Source organism: Homo sapiens, chromosome 7 (genome assembly GCF_000001405.40).
Source record: "Homo sapiens chromosome 7, GRCh38.p14 Primary Assembly".
NCBI classification, from domain to species: Eukaryota; Metazoa; Chordata; class Mammalia; order Primates; family Hominidae; genus Homo; species Homo sapiens.
Genome location: NC_000007.14, coordinates 119,597,369 through 119,621,919, shown reverse-complemented (window position 1 = coordinate 119,621,919; position 24,551 = coordinate 119,597,369). Strand labels below are relative to the sequence as shown.

Sequence of the window (24,551 nt, the reverse complement as noted above, 5' to 3'; positions counted from 1 at the left end):
ATTTTACACAAAAATATTCTCAAGCTACCATGGAGAAACTTTAATACAAATGCAAATAAATAAAAAATTGATCCAAGGAAAAGACAGCATATTCCAGCTTTGTGCCACAATTCACTACTTTCCTGATCAAGTTTCTGTGGCCTTTATAATTATTTAGCAAACATGTTTTCAACATGAGTGTATCTTAAGGTGATGCAAATGTTCTCATACATTACAGAACAGGTACGGGACTAGAGAGATTCACAGAAATGGTTCCAGCTATCATAATCTGATTGCTGAGATAATCAGAGTTGCTCCAGGATATCTGTGGACATATTAAGGATGCTTATCTCCAAATATCACTGTCTGTTTAACTTTTTTTTTAAATTCCCTACCCAAAGTTAATTAATAATTCTTTTCCATTGCAAACCACCTCAGCACTTTGCAGATATCTCTATTACAACTTGTAAGCTTTTAGGGGACTCAGCTTTTTCCCTTTCCCAATTCTACCTAATTCTGTTCCTAAATAGGTAGGAGGTCATTCTCTGAATTAGCAGGAACCATGGTTCACCTTTCAGATGGTCCTCTGAAATACTTTATTTGTCTAGAAATGGGAAGGTTTCAGGCTACCTTCAAGAGAGAATGGTCGGTGAGCACCTCTCTCTCTCTCTCTTTCTCTCTCTCACACACACACACACACGCACACGCACACACACACAGACACATTCTCTCTCTCCCTTGCTGTCCTGTCTGTCTGTATTCCTAGACCCTTCCTTCCATGAGTCCTAAGAATCACGAAAGCGTGAGACTGGTGCTCTACGTTTCTGCCCTCAAGTTTCAGGGCAGCAATTGAAGACCAGCACTGTTAAAGGTAAGAAGCAAATCTTCCTGAATCTCTTGCTCTGTTTGCATTTTCTTTTATATGTTTTGTTTTTCCTCTGCAGGTTTCTTTATAACCATCACTGTGTTGAAACAAAAGGTGCTAAAATCCAATTGCATGCTTTTAAAACAGTGAAAGAGGCCATTCTGGCCTGCTTTGTTTCTTGGCGCTAATCTGACAACTGTTTTTACAGAGGGATGTTCTTTGTATGTTCCAGTGTCAGTCACCAGGAGCAGATTCTTAAGATTTTAGTCAAAAAAGCCCAAGTATAAACTATTTGTTTTGTTTCTCTCTCTTTTTTTTTAGACAGAGTTTTGCTCTTGTTGCCCAGGCTGGAGTGCAATGGCACGATCTCAGCTCACTGCAACCACCGCCTCCCGAGTTCAAGAGATTCTCCTGCCTCAGCCTCCCGAGCAGCTGTGATTACAGGCACCTGCCACCATGCCAGGCTAACTTTTTTGTATTTTTAGTAAAGACAAGGTTTTGCCACGTTGGCCAGGCTGGTCTCAAACTCCTGACCTCAGCTAATCCACCTGTATAGGCCTCCCAAAGTTCTGGGATTACAGGCGTGAGCCACCATGCCTGGCCAACTATTTGTTTTCTTGATCTTGTCCTGTGTGTGTGTGTGTGTGTGTGCACGTGCACACGCGTGTGCTATGAAGCATAGAATTCATAGATTTAGAAATCTGTATTCTAGGATCTATTTTTTCACACTTCAAATATCCCACTATGAGTTATATCATGATTATTTGTTCACATATTTGCCTTCTCCTGAAACTAAACTTTTGGAAGATGTGAATCACATGTTATCTACGTTTTGTCTCCCAGAAACCTATATGTCTAGTTGGTAGTTGACCGTTGCCGGGTGAAAGCTCTAAAGCCTGACTGAACTCCTGAATGAACAAATAAATGGATAGGATGATAACCTAAGTAGTCTAATATCAGCACTTAGGTTGTTCTCTAAGTGAAGGAACTTAGAGAACTGCTACAAAGTCATTGTAATTGTATACACGTGCTACACTTTGGAGATTACTGCTAAATAAAGATCAAGTTAGTGTTTGTATTTCCCCAGAGAAAATAGAGAATTGAATCTCAAAGACAAGTTGTTGCTTTGGAGGTAGAAGAGGGTTTTAATCAGCAATGAGAAGAAAAAGAGTAAGAAATGTAATCTTCTACCCAATCTCTAAGTTAAATCATTTTACCCTTTTAGACATATTCCTCATAGTTTTCACAGAGGGAAAAGGGAAAAAGTAATTCCCATCATTGCTTCCTGTTCCCCTGGCAGTCTCTATATTAAAGATGCTGGACTGCAGATCCTCACTGCTGAGGGAAAATATTAACCTCATTCTCTCCAAACACAGTATGAAGCCTAGAAAATGTCCTTCCTCATTTTGGAACTTAAGGTTGTGTACAGAACAGTCTTACAATGACAGTGTTTAGAACTGTAAGAAATCATCAAAATGAGGTAAGTCTTTGTGAGGTAGCTGTGGAGCTGATTTTTGAAAGTATTGCTGCCTATGATTTTGGAGGTGCATCATATTGTCAGGAAAGGTCTAATGTGCTTTTTAAGTTATGAAATTTTGGTGTCACATTTGTCTTGTGGGCTGCAGAAATAAAAAATAGGTTGATAATTATCTCTAAACTTTTTCTATTTTTTTTCACATTTAGGTGTATGAAAGCATTCTAAGTAGTATTGACATTTTAAAACTCAAACTATCATAAAATTAGGTAATCTATTTTAAATACTAACAATGACAACTTTATGTATTTCATTATTTAAATTATAATTCCAAAATATTATTTCAAATGCAAAACATAATATTTTTAAATAGCTATAAAATACTTTATAAATACAATCAATTGACATAAATTTATATTGTAATCCTTAAAATCAACTGATAGTTGCTATTTAGAATATTGAATTCTACTTCTTATTAGTGTTATTATAAAGAAATAATATTAATCAACAAAACCCATCCTTCAACCTCCATCTTAATTTTGCTTTAGTGCAAGTGTCTCATTCTCAGAATGCAATCCTGCAGGCTGCAATGACATGATTCCTCTTCTCAAAGTCCCTAAATTTTGCTTCTCAGTGTGTATTGCTCTCAGTTATTTTTAAAATTTTTTTTGTTTCTTCATTATTGGCCTTTGGAAAACTGAAAGTGTTGATATTCACTATTTCACTGTCACCTAGATCTGAGAAACTTTTCTGCATCCAAAAACTCCTCTCACTTATTTTTCTTTTGCTGATATATTGCACAAGTCATAGTAGAGAGAGAGAAGGCAGAGTCAACCTGGGGAGCATTTGACAGGTGGCATTGAAAATCTACTGCTTGACAATATTGATTCTTCCTATCCATGAACATGGAACGTTTTTCCATTTGTTTATGTCATCTGTGATTTCTTTAAACAATGTTTTGTAGTTCTCATTGTGGAGATCTTTCATCTTCCCGGTTAGATGTATTGCTAGGTAGCTTATTCTTTTGTGGCTATTGTGAATGGAATTGAATTCTTGATTTGGCTATCAGCTTGGATGTTGTTGGTGTACAAGAATGCTACTAATTTTTGTACATTGATTTTGTATCCTGAAACTTTGCTGAAATGGTTTATCAGATCAGGGAGCTTTGGGGCAGAGACTATGGGGATTTGCAGGTATAGAAGCATATCATCTACCAACAGAGATAGTTTGACTTCCTCTCTTTCTATTTGGATGCTTTTTATTTTATTTCTTTCTCTTGCTTGATTGCTCTGCCCAGTGCTTCCAATTGTATGTTGCATAGGAATGGTTAGAGAAGGCAACTTCTTCTTGTGCCGGTTTTCAAGGGGAATGCTTCCAGCTTTCGCCTGTTCAGTATGATGTTGGCTGTGGGTTTGTCATTAATGGCTCTTACTATTTAGAAGTAAGTTCTATCAGTGCCTAGTTTGTTGAGGGTATTGAACATGAAGGGAGGTTGAATTTTTTCAAAAGCCTTTTCTATGTCTATTGAGATAATCATGTGGTTTTTGTTTTTAGTCCTGTTTATATGATGAATCACATTATTGATTTGCGTATGTTGAACCAATGAGGCATACCAGGGATAACACCTACTTGATCATGGTGAATTAGCGTTTTAATGTGCTGCTAGATTTGGTTTTTCAGTATTTTATTGATCATAAACACTTATGTTGATCAAGAATATTGGCCTGACGTTTTCTTTTGTTGTTGCTGTGTCTCTGCCTCTTTTTGGTATCACCATGATGCTGGCCTTATAGAATGAGTTAGGGAGGGGTCCATTCTTTTCAATCTTTTGGAATAATTTCAGTAGGAATGGCACCAGTTCTTCTTTTATACTTCTAATAGAATTTGGCTGAATCTATCTGTTCCTGGGCTTTTTTTGTTGGTAGGCTTTTTTTTATTATTATTACAGATTCGGTTTTGGAACTTATTATTGGGCTGTTCAGATTTCCAACTGCTTCCCGGTTCAGCCTTGGGAGCGTGTATGTGTCCAGGAATTTATCCATTTCTTCTGGTTTTCTAGTTTGTGTTCATAGAGGTATTTATTGTAGTCTCTCTAACGGTTTTTTTTGTTTTGTTTTTGTTTGTTTGTTTTACTTCCCTGTGGGGTCAATTGTAATGTCCCCTTTGTCATTTCAAATTGTATTTATTTGGATCTTCTCTCTTCTTTTATTATTCCAATTAGTGATCTGCCTTATTAGTTTTTTCAGAAAAGAAACTTCTGGATTCATATATCTTTTGTATGTTTTTTCACGTCTTATTTTCCTTCAGTTCAGCTCTGATTTTGATTACTTCTTTTTTTCTGTTAGGTTTGAGGTTCGTTTGCTCTTGTTTCTCTAGTTCCTCTAGTTATGATGTTAGGTTGTAATTTAATCTCTTCCTAACTCTTTGATGTGGACATTTAGTTCTAGAAACTTCTTCATCGAGTTAGCAAAAGCTATTTTAAAAATTAATATAGAACCACAAAGGAACCCAAATAGCTCAGGTAATCCTAAGCAAAAAGAATAAAGCTGGAGACATCAAGTTACCCAACTTCTAACTACACTACAAGGATACAGTAACCAAGACAGCATGCTACTGAGACAAAAACAGACACATATACCACAGGAAGAGAATAGAGAGCCCAGAAATAAGGCCACACAGCTGTAACCATCTGATCTTCAACAAAGTTGACAGAAGCAAGTGAAGGGGAAAGGACTCCCTAATCAATAAATGGTGCTAGAATAAGTTTCAAAAAATTTCTTGATTTCTGACTTTATTTTATTATTTAACCAAAAGTCATTCAGGAGCAGGTTGTTTAATTCCATCCAATTGTATAACTTTGAGTGATTTTTTTGGTATTGATATGTTTATCTATTTCTCTGTGATCTGAGACTGTAGTTGGTATGATTTCAGGTTTTTTGTTAATTTGCTGAGGATTTTTTATGTGCAGAAGATTGAAACTTGATTGCTTACATTTACTGTATATAAAAATCAACTGAAGAGGTACTAAAGATTTAAATGTAAAACCTGAAACTATAAAAATCCTAGAAGAATATCTAGAAAACCTAGGAAATACCATTCTGGACATAGGTCCTGACAAAGGCTTTATGACAAAGACTCCGAATGCAATTGCAACAAAACAAAAAATTAGCAAATGAGACCTAATTATCTAAAGAGCTTCTGCATAGCAAAAGAATCATTCAATCAATAGAGTATACAAGTAATCTACTGAATCAGAAAAATATTTGCACATTATGTATCCAACAAAGGTTTAATATTCAGAATCCCTAAGGAACTTAAATAGATATGTAAGCAAAAAACAAACAACCCTATTAAAAACTGAGCAAAGGACATGAATAGGTGCTTTTCAAAAGAAAACATATACGCAACAAACAAGCATATGAAAAAAAGCTCAAAGTCACTAACTATTAGAGAAACGCAAATCAAAACTACAATGGGATACCATCTCACGCCAGTCACAATGGCTGTTACTAGAAATTCCAATCATGACAGATGCTGGTAAGATTGTGGAGCAAAGGGAATGCTTATACACTGTTGGTGGAAGTTCAAATTAGTTTAAAATTTACATTTTAAAATTTTAAATGTAAATCACTGTGGCAATTCTTTAAACAACTTAAAATAGAATTACCATTTGACCTAGAAATTTCATTATTGGATATATACTCAATGGAATATAAATTATTCTAACATAAAGACACATGTGTGCATGTGTTCATTGAGGTACTCTTCACAGTAGCAAAGGCATGGAATCAACCTAAATGTAGACTAGATAAAGAAAATGTGGTATGTAAACAGCATGGAATACTACACAGCCATAGAGATCATGTCTTTTGCACCAAGGTGGATGCAGCTGGAGGCCATTATTCTAAGCAAATTAACGCAGTGACAGAAAACCAAGTACAGCATATTCTCACTTAAAAGTAGGAGCTAAATAATGATAACACACGAGCATAAAGAGGGGAACAACAGATAATGGGGTCTCCTTGAGGAAGGAGGATGGTAACAGGTGGATGAGGATAAAAAAAAATTACCAATTCATCACTATGCTTATTATCTGGGTAACAAAATAATCTGCATACCAAACCCCAATGAGAAGCCATTTACCTATATAACAAATCGGCACACATATCCCTGAACCTAATTTTTTTTTAAAGCTACAATTTGTATTGTCAACTCACACAAAAACACACTCTAAATAAAATACTTGGCAAATTTCTGAGTCATGTGGCTTCTAAATAAAGTATGATGTAATAAACTTAAAATATATTTATTTTTCCTATTTTTATATATCAAGAAAGCACGTCACAAACAATAATTAAGTGACTAAAGAGGACATTAAAATATGTGAAAATGAATCAAATTCCTTTATCATACAGGATCTAAAAGTCTACTAAGATGTTACTTTTCTCCAAGCCAAACTTTATATACTATTTATGGATTATTTTTCTAGCAAACTTTAATAAATCATAATAGACACAATATTTGCTCTCATTTTATAAAGGAATAAGTATCAGATGTTCCAGGATTGATTTTTTTTGTCATTTTGTTATACAATATTGAATAATACATTCAAGCTCTGCTGTAGGAGAAATACATTTATGGGAGCAAAGGTTTATTAGGAAATGTGAATGTAATTTACAGTGGCTTTATCTAGAAGCTTACTTGTAGAGGGATATTGATAAACTTTAAAAAATTATGACATTGAATTATTTCTCTGCATTTTTTTAACATTAATGACCATTTATGTAGGTGTTTTTAGAGTATATTTATATTTGTTTCAGAAAAATTATTATATTATGTATTAGGAAATCACCTTCTCCTAAGTATAATAGAGAACACAAACCTGACATGAATAGAACTAAGGGTTCTAGGTTAGCCAGAAACAAAGGCAGTGATTTGCCAACCCTGGGAACAAGGGGAAGTCATTGTGAGCTACGGGGAAAATAATAATAAAAATAATAAGGTGGTTAGTTGTCAGCCACAATATTCACCCAGTGCAAGTCATAATTTGTATCCAAATATATTATTTTGATGTCATAATAGTCAATGAAGGAATTTGTCTGCTTTAATATTTTGAAATATAAACTCTGTATCCCTTTTCATTGGTGTAAGCCTTCCAGCTATAATGGAATCATTAACCAATGAGGTGCAATTTCAACAGTTTTGATTGTCTCTAAAATGATTATTCAGTCAGCCAGGTGGATATTTTGCAATAATTGCACTGGGATGTCTCCCACCTGATGGGTTGTTTTCTCTCTGACTGATTCTGTTAGAAAATGTTATTTTCTAGCTAACTCTTCTGCCCTAAAATATCTTGTGTTGGCTCAGGTTACCAAACACTGATTTGTTTAGATACTGCTCTGTTGAATATAATTGTGCTGAAATGACCTGCTTCAGTTTTAGAAGGTGAGTGTGTTTATGGTCATAAAAATGTAATCTTAGAGACCAGCAAATAACTCCAAGTAACTTCAGCCAGATCTATTGCTGGTGCCAAATTATCAGTAGTTAGCTTACCTTACTTATTTCAAAGACAGGTCTTTTTGGCACAAGAGAAATTGTACTACTCATCCTAAAAGTCTATTTGGTACTTTTATTTAAAGATTTGTTATGTAATGGTATTTATCAAGTAATTTTAAAGTTTTCGCCACTCATTCAGCTTTCCAGACTATTTTTGGAAGATATCTCATTAACAACAGTCATGTAAGATTAATGGGGAGGCAAATTTTGAAATTATTTCTGATATTCTTCTGATATGGATCTTCCATAAAATATAATAACTGAATGTCTATTTTATCAAGCAATAATTACTGTTTTAACATTTAATAAAGATAATCTGTATAAGTGAAATATATATCCGCCAAAACACAAAAATTTTTAATTGATTCTCAAATTATTAATGCATTATTTTACAAGAACTTTGTATAATTTACTCATGGCAAACGTCCCTTTTAAGGAAAACAGTCTATGCATTAGTTTCAGGAGAAAGAATGTTTTCTTCAAGAGATTATTGTGTTTCAGTTTTTTGCATATACAATATCTGCTGAAGACATTCATGTTCATGAATCTATTGTATTTTTCTTCTAAAGGATTTAGTGTCATAAAACAAAAACAAACATCTAAACAAACAAAAGCAGTGCACTTTCAGAGGTCACATGACCAGTGTCTGAAAGCCCAACCTCCATCATTTTCAAATTGTGTGTTAGTGTGTGTGTGTGTGTGTGTGTGTGTTTATGTGGGCATGTATACATGCTCCTGAGTGAACTTGTGTAAGAAAGATGTGGATATATGGGGTTGTGTGAAGATGAGAATTATTACGATAAACACCCTAGAACTGGTATTAAACATCAGGCTTATGAGAATAATGTTTCAGACTCATGTGTATGAACCCAACAAACATTTAGTTTTTTAAGAGGACTATCTGCTGTAGTTAGAAAGTGATGGCGAGGAGGCAATACTTGGAGCCTGGGCTGTTTCTTAGGCTAAACAAAAGGGCTTATGTTTGAATTCTTTATACTTCTGTACAATTATTTTACCCAGAACTCTGAGGCAATACAAGCCTCTAGTATAATTTGTAAACATATATAAACATGCTTTATGAGGCTTGAATTTGGGGACTCTAGCCTATCATTTTGTAGGCTTCACCACTAACCTAAATTCAATGGTCTTGTGAAAGTTCTGAAAACCATTGCCCTCTGGGCTACAAAAATTGAATACCCTGACAAAAATACACGTGTGTATTCTGATGTAATTTTTCTAACATAATTACTATATTATAAAAATGTGTTTCACTAAAGGAATTGCAGTTAATTGCAAACTCTCATGAAATATCCTGTATTTAAACATGTATAGTTTTCTAAAGGATATTTTAATTGGCAGCTATGTGTGCTCATATTTTGTCCACTCACGTAGCTACTAAGGAATATTTAGAGATCTTTGAACCAACTAATTTTTCAGGGATTTTTGCAGTTGTTTTTACATAATAAACATGCTTTCTATAGATGACTCAAATCAATAACTTAGAAATCACAAAATTGTACTTTTAATAAGTTTAACCCTTTTTTATTATGCTTTAAGTTCTGGGATACATGTGCAGAACGTGCAGGTTTGTTACATAGGTATACGCGTGCCATGGTGGTTTGCTGCACTCATCAACCCATCATCTAAATTAGGTATTTCTCCTAATGCTATCCCTCCTCTAGCCCCCCACCCCCGACAGGCCCTGGTGTGTGATCTTCCCCTCCCTGTGTCTATGTGTTCTCATTATTCAACTCCCACTTATGAGTGAGAACATGTGGTGTTTGGTTTTCTGTTCCTGTATTAGTTTGCTGAGAATGATGGCTTCCAGCTTCATCTATGTCCCTGCAAAGGACATGAACTCATACTTTTTTATGGCTGCATAGTATTCCATGATGTATATGTGCCACATTTTCTTTATCCAGTCTATCAAAATGTTGCTAATATTTATAAACCCTTAGATTTATGTATGTCTTAATGGGGAATAGTATTCTTATTTGATAATATATTGAATTATAAAGCTTAAGGTACAATTATGTGTAAATAAATATATTTTATATATATGCCTGAAAAGCTAACATTACAGAGAAAATGGACAATGGGATCAACTTTAATGAGACTGTTGTATTTTTCTCAATTTTGGTCTTCCTGTCTCTCTCTGGAGAGTGACTATAAATTTCAGCTCTGCCCTGACAGGGCTCGAGGGAAGGTGGTCATGGATGTTTACAGCATGTCTTTCACAGGAAACTTTGTTATCCTGGCAGACAGCCTAATGCCCAGGTGCTCAACCTGTGACCAGGTGTCCCTCTCACCTGGTTGATATCATCAGATGCCCTTGTGGTTTTTTGTCTGACCTGTGTCCAGTTTGAATACCAAGATAGACACTCTAGGAGAGGCCTGACAGGGAGGAGAGTTAGATTTGAGTGTGTCTGTCTGGCAAGACACAGAGGAGGCAGCATGACAAAACACATGAAGGAATAGAAGCACTTTATGACTCATAGATCCATGAGAGAAGAGGACTGCCCCTGATGACCCATGGGAAGTCCAGAGATAGCTGGGTGCTTGACCAGGGGGAGAGGGAGAGGGAGAGGGAGAGGAAGAGGGAGAGAGACCGGACCTGTGGGACTTTAATAAGGTCCCTGAGCATTATCTTTAGGCTTTCCCTAGGGTTATAAATTGGCTAGGTTAAGGAAATCACACCCAAAAAGAGAAAATTATTTACATGACTCTAATGTTGACCATTAGGTTTTATTGTGGTTAGCAGCTGTGGGTGTGTTGTTTTGGCCTCACGGGAGTGAGGAACAAGCAGACTATATTGCAAAGGAGAAGTTTCAACTAGACCAAGTATGACAGGTACAACTGGGTTTCAAATAACTATGTTGGCCTAAAAATAGATGCTGAGGCAGCCACTATATTAAACACATTTATGACAGAGACATGTTTATAAAATATATGGTCAGAAAAGATTGGAAATAATGAGACAAATGATCGTAAGCATTTTGGTGGGAACCATAATGAGGCCTATGGGTCAGTGAAGGCGTGGATAGAGAGGAGCTGTGGAGGCCGAAACCTGAAACCTCACTGGGGAAGCGGGTCAATGTGAAGCTTGGCTTAAGAGGATTAATCGAAGGAGATGGCAGAGAACAGCCCAGGGGCAGTGAGATATTTCCAAATCTATGGAACTGTCCTCTAAAATAATGCATTTGCAAAGGCCTTATCTGCATTTTCAGGTGTGATTATTGATCATTCATTTACATGTTATAACACTTCTCTCCTGGAAGTCTCTCTACTCCAAGAGAAACAAACATACAAACATGTACATGTGTGCTTGTTACAGGTTTTCTTAGTCTATAATCCATTTCCAAATATCCTTGAAATAAAACAACAATGGAAAGAAGAAGAAAATACTTCTTCATATATATTAACTATATATAACTATAGATTTTATCTCTTATGAGATTAGCTTGGTTCTTTTAATTTTTACACATTTCCCGTGTTTGATGTAACAAACCAAAACTGAACTTTAACTGAAGACTTACATTCTAATTCTACCTTCTGCAGTTACTTTCATGAAAGTAACTTAATTTCACCAAGATTTAGTGTTCTAATATTGATAGAAGAGAGTCGTATCTTATCGTATATTGCAAAAATCAAATATCACGATTTTGCACAACACTTGACACATACTTCTAGAATTATTTCTATTTTTCTTATAAATTTTTACATTTTCAGGACTGTTATCTAGATGAGTTATACCCATATGGCGGTATGTACAATATATTTGTGACTGACACTATTTGATGATTTAATGCCCTGCTTTGACAAGATCATACATGTATAATTTTACTGTTATTAAATATTTTGAACATCACTCTTCTATGTTTATTTAATTGATTAATGAGAGGAAAACAGTTGTTCATAGATGAGAATGGGGTGAAATGGGACAAGGTGTGGAAAGTCAAAGATGGGGACTAACAAGGCCACATCTAGCTTATAGGTCTGGATAGCCTATATTTATTTCCTGTATTGCTTTTTAAGGTAAGAGTAGGGTAATACTGAATCTTGTTTTGTTTTTTAATTTTTCTTTTTTTTTCTTTTTTTTAGTAGATGTATTTATAAGCTCAAATACTCACAAATGAAAAAAGAAGAGTGATTAATGTTAAATGCAGGCATATGAACAAGATTATGTCTGAGGTTTTTTCCAAGATTAAAATTTTGTGAACACCTTTCTAAGCGTTTGCTGCTTTATAGGCATAATTAGACTGGGAGGTTTAGATAGTATTCTAGGTACTTAAGAAAAAACGTGAACAAGACATATATGTTACAAAAGAGTTTAATGTCTAATTACAAAGTTCTCCATATATACTTAAAAATGAAACTTCAATTATTATTAAATTTTATATATCATACAAGAGGCAGTATCAGAAATTAAACTACAAGTCCAGTTTATTTATTTATTTATTTTATTTTATTTTATTTTATTGTTTAGATTATACTTTAAGTTCCGGGATACATGTGCAGAATGTGCAGGTTTGTTACACAGGAATACATGTGCCATGGTGGTTTGCTGCACCTATCAACCCATCATCTAGGTTTTAAGCCCCACATGAATTAGGTATTTGTCTTTATGCTGTCCCTCCCATTACCCCCTACCCCTCACAAGTTCAATATTTGTTATGGTGCTTATTTAGGCTGTAGTCTTGGATATATGTCCTTGCACATATAATTTACCACCACTACTCCTGCCATACACTACTCTGTGGTAAATGGTATGTACAAGAGCATATATTCAAGGCATATATCCACTCTGGTAAATGAGGCAAAAAGTATTCATGGTAAAAATCGAAACAACATTTGATAGTTTAAAAAGATAAACTAGTATTTCCTGCTCTAAGAAAAATATCTTTTCTAATAATTTGTTTATTGCTGATTTTTATTAAACTATTCACCTTTTGTTTTTTGACTAAATAAAATATATATAATATAAAAATAAAATAATTGTTTAGATGAGCTATTCTACTAAATAAAATACATATGATACAAAAATAAAAGCACTGATTGTCTAGATGAGATACATGAGTTTATACCAAAAAAAGATGATTTCCTACAAGAAGAGTTTACTTCTGGTTTTTCATTTATCTAAATACTACTTATGTAAGTTTTCTGTAAAAAATCAAAGGAAAACACAAGTAATTTTTTCAATATAAAAGTATTTAGCTATAACTCACATTAGTTTAAAAAACAGTGGAATAGAATACTAAAACTGCAAATCAATTATGATCTCTAAAATATTTTAAGAAAGAATGCTATTTTAAATATTTTAGTAAAATATATTTTAGTACAGAAATCATCAGAGGGTTAACCAGGTAAATCTTCTGTCAATAATCTGTTATTATTTTTATTCTATGAGGATAAAAAAGGTAAATATTCGTGTTTTCTAGTGAATTGTGTTTTTTTGTGTATTGTATTTCTATTGCATTTAAGAACCAGTAAATATTCAAAAGGTTACACAACCCATTCTGAAAACTCCTACTAAAATTCTTGTGAAACAGAAGAATGACTGCATAATACAAAGTTAAAAGAATAAATACATCCTATATCCTGCTGTGATAGTCAAATTTCAGTTTTCTTTTTAATCTCTGTGAACAATCTAATTAGACACAATTGATTTCTAGGTCCTTAAGTAGGAGTTATTTAATTGAGGGAGTAGTGATTTTTCATAAGAAAGTGGTTATCTTGAGCTGTCCAATGTAGTAGCCATTAGCTATATATGGCTATTTAAATGTATATTAAGTAAAATTAAATAAACCTAGAATTTCAGTTACTCAGCTATATTACAAGCGCTCAACATCCACATATGCCCAGTGGCCACCATATGGGACACAGAAGAGTGATAGAACATTTCCATCATCGCAGGAAGTTCCACCCGGAAGCACTAGTAGAAACCTTCTGTTGCATTGTATCTACCTCGACAGGTTTTAGTTGCAGAGCTGAAATTCCCGATATGTTAATGCATATCATGTAACAGCCTTTAACATATTAAGCATAGTTATGTTTACTTTCTTGTGTGACAGACCCCCTTCTTTTGATAGGCCTTTAGTGTGAGGAGTTGACATGATCTAGTCAGGAGTTGAGCTTATTTTCATTTTTGTTGTCATTGTGAACCTCCGCATGCTTCAAACTCTTCTAATGTTTCATGTATTTTGGATGATTGCTGGGTTGCTTGACTCATTTTCTCAATATTTCTCTTCTACCTCAGCTTTAGGTTTCCCCTATAATCCTGCACCTCAAAGATGCTCTTTCTTCCTTCTTCTTATTCCTTAATAGTGGACTAAAGTTTTTTGTTACTTGGAATTCTATTTGCTCATTTCAGCCTTAGTCTTAGGCATGTGGTCCATCCCTGGGTGTTAGGAATGAGAGAAAATCAATATTTCTCACATCTGCAATGATAGGGGATCTGCTATGGTCTGGGTCCCAAAGCCCAAAGTTTCTCTTTCTATTTATTTCCTCCAGTGGTAATGGTCTTCACCCTATACCCTGAGTATGGTAACGTTTACCATCCTACCCCAGTGTCTTCAGGCTTTTGTTCAGAAGGAAAAATAAGAGAGTGGGTCTCGGATCCCTCCAGTCAATTCATCCTGCAGTGGCTGTTCCTTGGCTCTCCTAAGCCTGCCATGTGTGCGAAGCTTTCTCTAGTCCCCTGCCTTGTGACCAATCTTTCTAGTGAGCGCCTGTGAGATGTATTGCTAAAAGATGTAGGTGGGTGTAATTTCCCTTGTTTTTTATGCTCCAGTATCAGTATACTCTCAGCCTATCCCACATTCAGCTTTGAAACATTCATTAAATATTTTACCTGAATTATTATTACTAGTTTGTATAGCGCCCAGAATCTGCCTCAGGTAACAAGAGCTTACATTCACATCTCTCCCTGGTAGTGTCTCTCTTGTCTTAGGTTTAATGCTAGTTTTTTGCTGTGTGACCTCAGGTATCTGATGGGATGAAGAAAAACTATGGTTACATAGATTATATCGCTTTTCTTCTTGTCATAGTGATTGGAGGTATGTTCCTTTCAGATTTTTCTATCTTAAGTAGAAGTTGGGAGAAAAATGTACATTATCATGTAAAATAATATATTTCTTTTAATTTCAGCTCATTTCTAGTGCCCTACAGTAAAATATACTTCTGGTCCTGTTTTTTTATTATTATTATTTTATTTTTTATTTTTCTTCTCTTTCCAAAATACTTTCCTCTTCTCTCTTTTTTTTTTAAGCTAGACATGGGTGTGGAGCTGGTTGACTGTGCACTGGTTATCAACTTGTCTGAGCCTAGTGAGACAGAACACACTCATAATCAACAAATTATATAAATCATGCTCATTACATACAGATAGGCAGGAAGAGACAACAGCAGTCTGGGATTTATTGTGAGCCAGTACTTCAAGGGTCAGAAAGCTGCCTGGGGCAGATGAAGTCTTTGCTGCATGTTTCCCACTTGAACTGCAGCTGAGGGACCCTGAAAGGTATCCCACTCTGGGTTATATACCTTGGGGTAATATGAATCACTGAGCTAAAGCACTGAGTTACATCCTTTTCTGGGAGGAAGCTAAAACACATCCCGGGCCATTACAGCCAGCTCTACTCTTATTTCAGGATGTTGCATTCCCAGTACATTTTATAGTTATTCTTGAGAATTTCAAACTAGAAAGTGGGGAGAGCCAGGCTGGTCAATCTAAGACCACCCAGGAAACTATCCTGTAATGGGTTCTGATGTTGATTAACAAAGTGTGATATATATACTTACGTTACAAAGAAAAATAATTATTTTGGGGCGAAATTTGATTTTACTTATTTTTATTCTCTTTTCCCCACACAAGTACATGCTCAGAACTACACACAGACACACACACACAACTCATCATTATCTATGTTTAGTTCTTTAGAGGTTTGATCAGAACATTCAGTGACAGCCCCACATTGTGTGCATATTTTATTTTTATTCAATATTCAGTAGGAAAAAGACACGCTCTTTTGGATATCTGTCTGATGTATTTGTATTATTTTGTATTTAGTATAAATTCACATTTCTTCTGCTGGGATGGTGTCTTTAAGTTTGTTTTTGTTTTTGTTTGTTTGTTTGGTTTGGTTTCCATTGTTAATAAAAAAATTACTGTATTGTCCTCTAGTGTAAATATAATAATATGGCAAAATAATGCAGTTATAATAATCTAGAACTTGTGGGGTTTTTTTAATTACTCCATAAGCCAGGACTAAAGAGATTCTTCTGGATTTTAGTCTCTCATCCTACCCCAGATTGCTCACTTATGGGTTTTGGATTACATTGAGTACAGGTCAGAGGATGCCAGAGAGAGAAAAGTGGTACACTCACAACTGGTTTGTTACAGTACAAATTCTGGTTTTCTTCCCTGATTTGTCTGCTCATATTTTCTCTTTAGAGTTTTCAAATAATTGTCCTCTGAATTAAGGGAGGTGTGTATTTACTCCATCTTATCTGTTTCTGAAACACTGGTTTTACATTTTAAAGATTTGTAGAATTATATACTGTTTTATAACTCAATTAGGCACTTCCAATTTTGTTTAGATGTTATAACTATAAAAAAGAATCACATATTACAATATTATATTTGATAGATACTATTTTTAATCTAACCAATTAGTGTAACTGGATCCATAGATTTAGAATCATATGCCTTTAAATCTTTTATCCAGTCAAAGAATAATCTTTTAATTCTCAGTTCTTAATGTATTTTCTTTTCTTTTCTAAGAGAAAGGAGTTAAAACAGTTGACCTGAAATCCATTTACTAACTCTTCTAGAGGAATGCATCTAGGGAAATAAGATAAGAAGCCATAGGAGCTAGTCTAATCTTCTTGTCAATTGCACTGGTAAAGAAAGAGATTAATAATATTTGCTCAGAGAAAGGTACCTCATCTCTGAAATGCTGTTAGTATAATATCCCTGGCTAACATGTGGTATCTAGTAAGTAAAACCCAGGACCTATAGTTCTGTGAAGTAGAGCTCCTTGAAAAATATCACTTGAGATACACAATTCTCTAGGTAGTATAAAATGTCTTTGATGTCCTATACCATTCTATGCCTTGTCAGAATCCCTTGATTTTCTTATTCTTACAATTAATTAGTAAAGTTTGGTCTGATTCATATGAGTCTGAACTGACAATCAAATCCTATCTAGTCACACACATTTCCACTTTTAATGTTTTCAGGTCACATTCACTTATAACTCTTTTTTACTTGCCTCCCTATTTGATTTTATTAGATACATTTTTCACTTTGCTGGGGTTGTTTCTTGAGTGATTACTTTTTCCCCATGAAAGAGATGTTCTTTAAGGGCTTAGAACTTCTTCACAGTTGGTGTGTTCCTGAAACTCACTAGGGACAAAAGGTATATAAAACTTTAAAAGTGTGTTTCTTACCCTGTTTCCAAAATTAAAGGTTGATGCTGAGGGTGCAGGAATAATTCTATGCTGAATAAAATGAACTTATTTAGTTCCAAGTTAGACAAAATTACTTAGATATCATATGCATGTGATGATATTATGTATTTTTTTCAAAATTTTAGTAGAAGTATCTGTTTTTGAGAAGTGTCTGTTCATGTCTTTTGCACACTTAAAAAAATTATTTATTTGAGGTTGTTGAATTTTTAAAATTCTTTATAGATTATGGATATTAGACCTATGTCAGATGCAAAGTTTGTGAATATTTTCTCTCATTTTTCTTATCTGTTTGCTCTGTTGATAGTTACTTTTGCTGTGAAAAAAACTCTTTGGTTTAATTAGGTTTCACTTGTACATTTTGGGTATAGCCTAGGTTTTCTTCAAGGATTTTTATAGTTTGAGTTCTTACATTTGAATCTTAATCCATCTTGAGTTAATTTCCATATATGGTGAAAGGTAAGTGTACAGTTTCATTCTTTTGCATATGGCTAGCTAGTTAAACCGGTACCATTTATTGAATCAAGAGTCCTTTCCCAATTGTTTGTTTTTGTCAGCCCTATGGAAGATCAGATGCTTGTAAGTGTACAGCTTTATTTTTGCCTTGTCTTTTCTGTTCCATAGGTCTATGTGTCTGTTTTTGCACCAGTACCATGCTATTTTGGTTACTGTAGCCTCATACTATAGTTTGAAGTTCATTAGTGTGATGCCTCTGGGTTTGTTCTTTTTGCGTAGGATTTCTTTGGCTATTGCTCTTATTTGGTTCCATATGAATTTTAGAATAGTTTTTTATTCTAATTTGTGAAGAATGATGTTGGTTGTTTGATAGAAATATCATTGAATCTGTAATGACCATTGTAATAATATTAATTCTTTCAATCTATGAGCATGGGATAATCTTCTATTTGTTTTTATCATCATTGATTTCTTTCAGTGTTTTGTAGTTCCCCTCATAGAGATCTTTCCCCTCCTTGGTTAGCTGCAGTCGTATTTCATTTTTGTGTGTGTGGCTATTGTAAATGAGATTGTGTTCTTGATTTGATTCTCAGCTTGATATAATTGGTATATAGAAATGCTACTACTTTTTGTACATTGATTTTGTATTCTGAAAACTTGATACATTTATTTGACAGTTCTATTAGACTTTTGGTGGAGTCTTTAGTGTTTTATAACTATAGAATCAGCAGCAGCAAAGAGATAGTGTGATTTTTTCTTTTCCCATTTATGTATGCCTTATTTCTTTCTCTTGTCTGATTACTCTGGCTATGAATTCCAGTACTATGTTGAATAGGAGTAATGCAAGTGTGCATCCTCATCTTATTCCATTTCTCAAGGGTAATGGTTCCAGCTTTTAATCATTCAGTATGATCTTGGCTATGGATTTTTTGTAGAAGGCTCTTATTATTTTGAGGTATGTTTCTTCTATGTCTAGTCTGTTGAAAGTTTTTATCACAAAGTGATGTTGAATTTTATTGACAGCTTTTTCTGCATCTATTGAGGTGATCATATAGTTTTTGCTTTTAATTCTGTTTATGTTGTGAATTACGTTTGTTGATTTGCATAGACTGAATAAGTCATACATCCCAAGGATAAAGTGTATTTGATAATTGTGAATTAACTTACTGATATCCTGCTGGGTTCGGTTTGCCAGTATTTTGCAGAGAATTTTTGTGCACGTGTTTATCAGGAATATTGGCCTGAATTTTTCTTTCCTCATCATGTCTCTGTCATATTTTAGGTTGATGCTGGCTTCATATAATGAATTAGGGAGTAATCGTTTCTCCTAATTTTTTTCAGGATGTTTTCAGTAGGATTGGTAGCAATTTTTTATACATCTGATATAACTTAACTGTGAATCCATCTTGCCTAGGGCTCTTTTTGGTTGGTAGGTTTTATATTACTGATTCAATTTCAGCGCTCGTGAACGACTCCTGGGTAAATAACAAAATTGAGGCAGAAATCAAGAAGTTCTTTGAAACCAATGATAACAAAGAGACAATGTTCCAGAATCTTTGGGACACAGCTAAAGCAGTGTTAAAAGGGAAATTTATAGCACTAAATGCCCACATCAGAAAGCTGGAAAGATCTCAAATCAACCCCCTAACATCACAATTAAAAGAATTAGAGAAGAAAGAGCAAACAAATTCAAAAGCTAGCAGAAGACGAGAAATAACCAAGATCAGAGCAGAACTGAAGAAGCTAGAGACACAAAAAACCCTTCAAAAACTCAATGAATCCAGAAGCTGGTGTTTTGAAAAAAATTAACAAAATATACAGACTGCTAGCTAGACTAATAAAGAAGAAAAGGCAGAAGATTCAAATAGACACAATAAAAAATGAAAAAAAGTATATCACCACTGTTTGCACATAAATGCAAACTACCATTAGAGAATACTATAAACACCTCTATGCAAATAAATTAGAAAGTCTAGAAAAAATTGATAAATTCCTGGACAAATACACCCTACGAGACTAAATCAGGAAGAAGTCAAATCCCTGAAGAGATCAATAACAAGTTCTGAAATTGAGTCAGTAGTTAATAGCCTAACAACCAAAAAAATCCCAGGACCAGATGGATTCACAGCCCAAATCCACCAGAGTTACAAAGAGGAGCTCGTACCATTCCTTCTGAAATTATTCCAAATAATTGAAAAGGAGGGACTCCTCCTTAACTCATTCTAGGAGGCCAACATCATCCTGATACCAAAACCTGGCAGATACACAACAAAAAAAGAGCACTTCAGACCAATATCCTTGATGAACATTAATGCAAAAATCCTCAATAAAATACTGGCAAACCAAATCCAGAAGCACATCAAAAAGCTTATCCACCATGATCAAGTTGGCTTCATACCTGGGATGCAAGTCTGGTTCAACATAAGCAAATCAATAAATGTAATCCATCACAAAAACAGAACCAATGACAAAAACCACGTGATTATCTCAATAGATGCAAAAAAGGCCTTCAACAAAATTCAACATCCCTTCATGTTAAAAACTCTCCTTGAAGAGGTCCTTCACATCCCTTGTAAGTGGTATTCCTAGGTATTTTATTCTCTTTGTAGCAGTTGTAAATGGGAGTTCACTCATGATTTGGCTCTCTGTCGGTTATTGGTTTATAGGAATGCTTGTGATTTTTGCACAGTAATTTTGTATCCTGAAACTTTGCTGAAGTTGTGCATCAGCTTAAGGAGTTTATAGGCTGAGACGACGGGGTTTTCTAAATATACAATCATCTCATCTGCAAACAGAGATAATTTGACTTCCTCTCTTTCTGTTTGAATACTTTCTATTTATTTCATTTGCCTGATTGCCCTGGCCAGAACTTCTAATACTATGTTGAATATGAGTGGTGAGAGAGGGCATACTTGTATTGTGCTAGTTTTCAAAGGGAATTCTTCCAGCTTTTGCCCATTCAGTATGATATTGGCTGTGGGATTTTCATAAATAGCTCTTATTATTTTGAGATAGTTCCATCAATACCTAGTTTATTGAGTGTGTTTAGCATGAAGGGGTGTTGAATTTTATCAAAGGCCTTTTCTGCATCTATTGAGATAATCATGTGGTTTTGTCATTGATTCTGTTTATGTCATGAATTACGTTTATTGATTTGGATATGTTGAACCAGCCTTGTATCCCAGGGATGAAGCTGATTTGATTGTGGTGGATAAGCTTTTTAATGTGCTGCTGAAATCATTCTACTATAAAGACACATGCACACATATGTTTATTGCAGCACTATTCACAATAGCAAAGTCTTGGAACCATCCCAAATGTCCATCAATGATAGACTGGATAAAGAAAATGTGGCACATATACACCATAGAATACTCTGCAGCCATACAAAAGAATGAGTTTATGTCCTTTTTAGGAAACCATCATTCTCAGCAAACTAACACAGGAACAGAAAACCAAACACCACATGTTCTCACTCATAGGTGGGAGCTGAACAATGAGAGCTTATGGGCATAGGGAGGGGAATATCACGCACTGGGGCCTGTAAGGGTGTGGATGGCAAGGGAAGGGATAACATTAGGAGAAATACCTAATGTAGATGACGGGTTGATGGGTGCAGGAAACCACCATGGCACATGTATACCTATGTAACAAACCCGCACGTTCTGCACATGTATCCCAGACCTTAAAGTATAATAGAAATTAATTAAATAATAAATAAATTAATAAAAATAAATTTTAAAAACTCTCAATAAACTAGGTATTGATGGAACATATCTCAAAATAATAAGAGCTCTTTATGACAAACCCATAGCCAATATCATACTGAATGGGCAAAAGCTGGAAGCATTTCCTTTGAAAACCAGCACAAGACAAGGATGCCCTCTCTCACTCCTCCTGTTCAACATAGTATTAGAAGTTCTGGCCTACACACTTAGGCAAGAAGAAGAAAAAAAGGTATTCAAATAGGAAGAGAGGAAGTCAAATTGTCTCTGTTTGCAGATGACATGATCCTATATATAGAAACCCCATTGTTTCAGTCCCCAAACTCCTTAAGTTGATGAGCAACTTCAGCAAAGTCTCAGGATACAAAATCAATGTGCAAAAATCACAAGAATTCCCATACACCAACAATGGAAAAGCAGAGAGCAAAATCATGAATGAACTCCCATTCACAATTACTATTACTACAAGGAGAATAAAATACCTAGGAATACAGATTACAAGGGATGTGAAGGACCTCTTCAAGGAGAACTACAAACCACAGCTCAAAGAAATAAGTGACAACACAAAAAAATGGAAAAACATTCCATACTTATGGATAGGAAGAATCAATGTCATGAAATGGCCATACTCCCCAAGTTAATTTATAGATTCGATATTATTACCATCAACTTTCCTCACAGAATTAGAAAAAAACTACTTTAAATTTCATATGGAACCCAAAAAGAGCCCATATAGCCAAGAAAATCCTAAGCAAAAAGAACAAAGCTGGAGGCATCATGCAACCTGACTTCAAACTATACTACAAGGCTATAGTAACCACAGCAGCATGGTACTGGGTGCCAAAACAGACATAAAGACCAATGGAACAGAACAGAGACCTCAGAAATAACACCACACATCTACAGCCATCTAATTTTCGACAAACCTGACAAAAACAAGCAATGGGGAAAGAGTTCCTTATTTAATAAATGGTGTTGGGAAAACTGGCTAGCCATGTGCAGAAAACTGAAACTAGACCCCTTCCTTACACTTTATACAAAAATTAACTCAAGATGGATTAAAGACTTAAACGTAAGACCCAAAACCATAAAATCCCTAGAAGAAAACCTAGACAATGTCATTCAGGACATAGGTATGGGCAAAGACTTCATGACTAAAACACCAAAAGCCATTACAACAAAAGATACAATTGACAAATGGGATCTAATTAAAGAGCTCCCACACAGCAAAAGAAACTAGCATCAGAGTAAACAGGCAACCTGCAGAATGGGAGAAAATTTTTACAATCTACCCTTCTAACAAGGGTCTAATATCCAGAATCTACAAGGAACTTAAACAAATTTGAAAGAAAAAAACAAACATTCCCATTAAAAAGTGGGCAAAGGATATGAACAGACACTTCTCAAAAGAAGACATTTATGTGGCCAACAAACATATGAAGAAAATCTCATCATCACTGATCATTAGAAAAAAGCAAATCAAAACCACAAGGAGATACCATCTCACACCAGTGAGAATGGCAATTATTAAACAACAGTCAGGAAACAACAGATGCTGGAGAGGATGTGGAGAAATAGGAACGCTTTTACACTGTTGGTGGAAATGTAAATTAGTTCAACCATTGTGGGAGACAGTGTGGCAATTCCTCAAAGATCTAGAATCAGAAATACCATTTGACCCAGCAATCCCATTACTGGGTATGTACCTAAAGGAATATAGATTATTCTACCATAAAGATGCATGCACATGTATGTTTATTGCAGCACTATTTACAATAGCAAAAACATAGAACCAACCCAAATGTCCGTCAATGATAGACTGGATAAAGAAAATGTGGAACGTATACACCATGGAATACTATGCAGCCATAAAAAGAATGAGATCATGTCCTTTGCAGGGACATGGTTGAAGCTGGAAGCCATAATCCTCAGCAAACTTACACAGGAACAGAAAGCCAAACACCATATATTCTTACTCATAAGTGGGAGTTGAACAATGAGAACACATGGACACAGGGAGGAGAACAACACACACCGGGGCCAGTTGAGGGGTGGTTGGCAAGGGGAGGGAGAGCATGAGGACAAATACGTAATGTGTGTGGGGCTTAAAACCTAGATGATGGGTTGACAGGTGCAGCAAACCACCATGGCATATATGTACCTATGTAACAAACTTGCACATTCTGCACATGTAAACCCGAACTTAAAGTAAAATTTTAAAATAAAATAAAATAAATAAACTGGACTTGTAGTTTAATTTCTGATACTGCCTCTTGTATGATATATAAAATTTAATAATAATTGAAGTTTCATTTTTAAGTATATATGGATAACTTTGTAATTAGAAATTAAACTCTCTTGTAACATATATGTCTTGTTCACGTTTTTTCTTAAGTACCTAGAATACTATCTAAACCCGAACTTAAAGTAAAATAATAAAAAAAATTTGAAAAAAATTGAAACCTTTAAGAAATATGGAATTATGTATAGAGACCCAATATGTGACTCATTAGCATTTATGAGAAGGAAAAGGAGAGAATAAGCAACTTGAAAAATATATTTGAGAATATAGTTCATTAAAATTTCTATAATCTCAATAGAGACATTCATATACAAATCCAATAAAGATGGAGGACCCCATCTAGAAACTATACAAGATGACTATCCCCAAGGCACATAGTAATCAGATTCACTTAGATCAATGGAAAAGAAAAAAAAAGATCTTAAAAGCAGCTAGAGAAAGGGGTCAAGCCAAGTACAGAGGAGAATTCATCAGGCTAACAGCAGAACTCTCAGCAGAAACCTTACAAGACAGAAGTGATTGGGACCCTATTTTATTTATCCTTAAAGTAAAGAAATTCCAACCAAGAATTTCATATCCTGCCAAATTAAATGTTATAAGTGAAGAAGAAACGAACTTCTTCTCAGAGAAGCAAGTGCAAAAGGAAATCATTTCTACTAGACTAGCCTTACCAGAGGTCCTAAAAGGAATGCTAAACATTGAATCAAAAGAATGACATCTGCTTCCACA

At 34.8% G+C, this 24,551-nt stretch overlaps 1 long non-coding RNA gene across 1 annotated transcript in view, besides 1 other annotated feature; it reads left to right on the top strand.

Annotated features, from left to right (window-relative positions):
- The window catches only part of LINC02476 (long intergenic non-protein coding RNA 2476), a 287,946-nt gene extending 285,456 nt beyond the window's left edge, over window positions 1–2,490 (top strand). The window contains exon 5 of the long non-coding RNA NR_131960.1: window positions 1,166–2,490. This is a non-coding gene — a long non-coding RNA (long intergenic non-protein coding RNA 2476). The remainder of the gene's footprint in view (window positions 1–1,165) is intronic.
- Window positions 649–1,194: an enhancer, noted in NCBI's record as "NANOG hESC enhancer chr7:119260780-119261325 (GRCh37/hg19 assembly coordinates)". NCBI's record gives its function as "activates a minimal SCP1, AML or CMV promoter by ChIP-STARR-seq in naive H9 embryonic stem cells {active_cell/tissue: H9 hESC(naive)}" and the evidence as "EXISTENCE:reporter gene assay evidence [ECO:0000049][PMID:30033119]".
- Window positions 2,491–24,551: the final 22,061 nt, after the last annotated feature.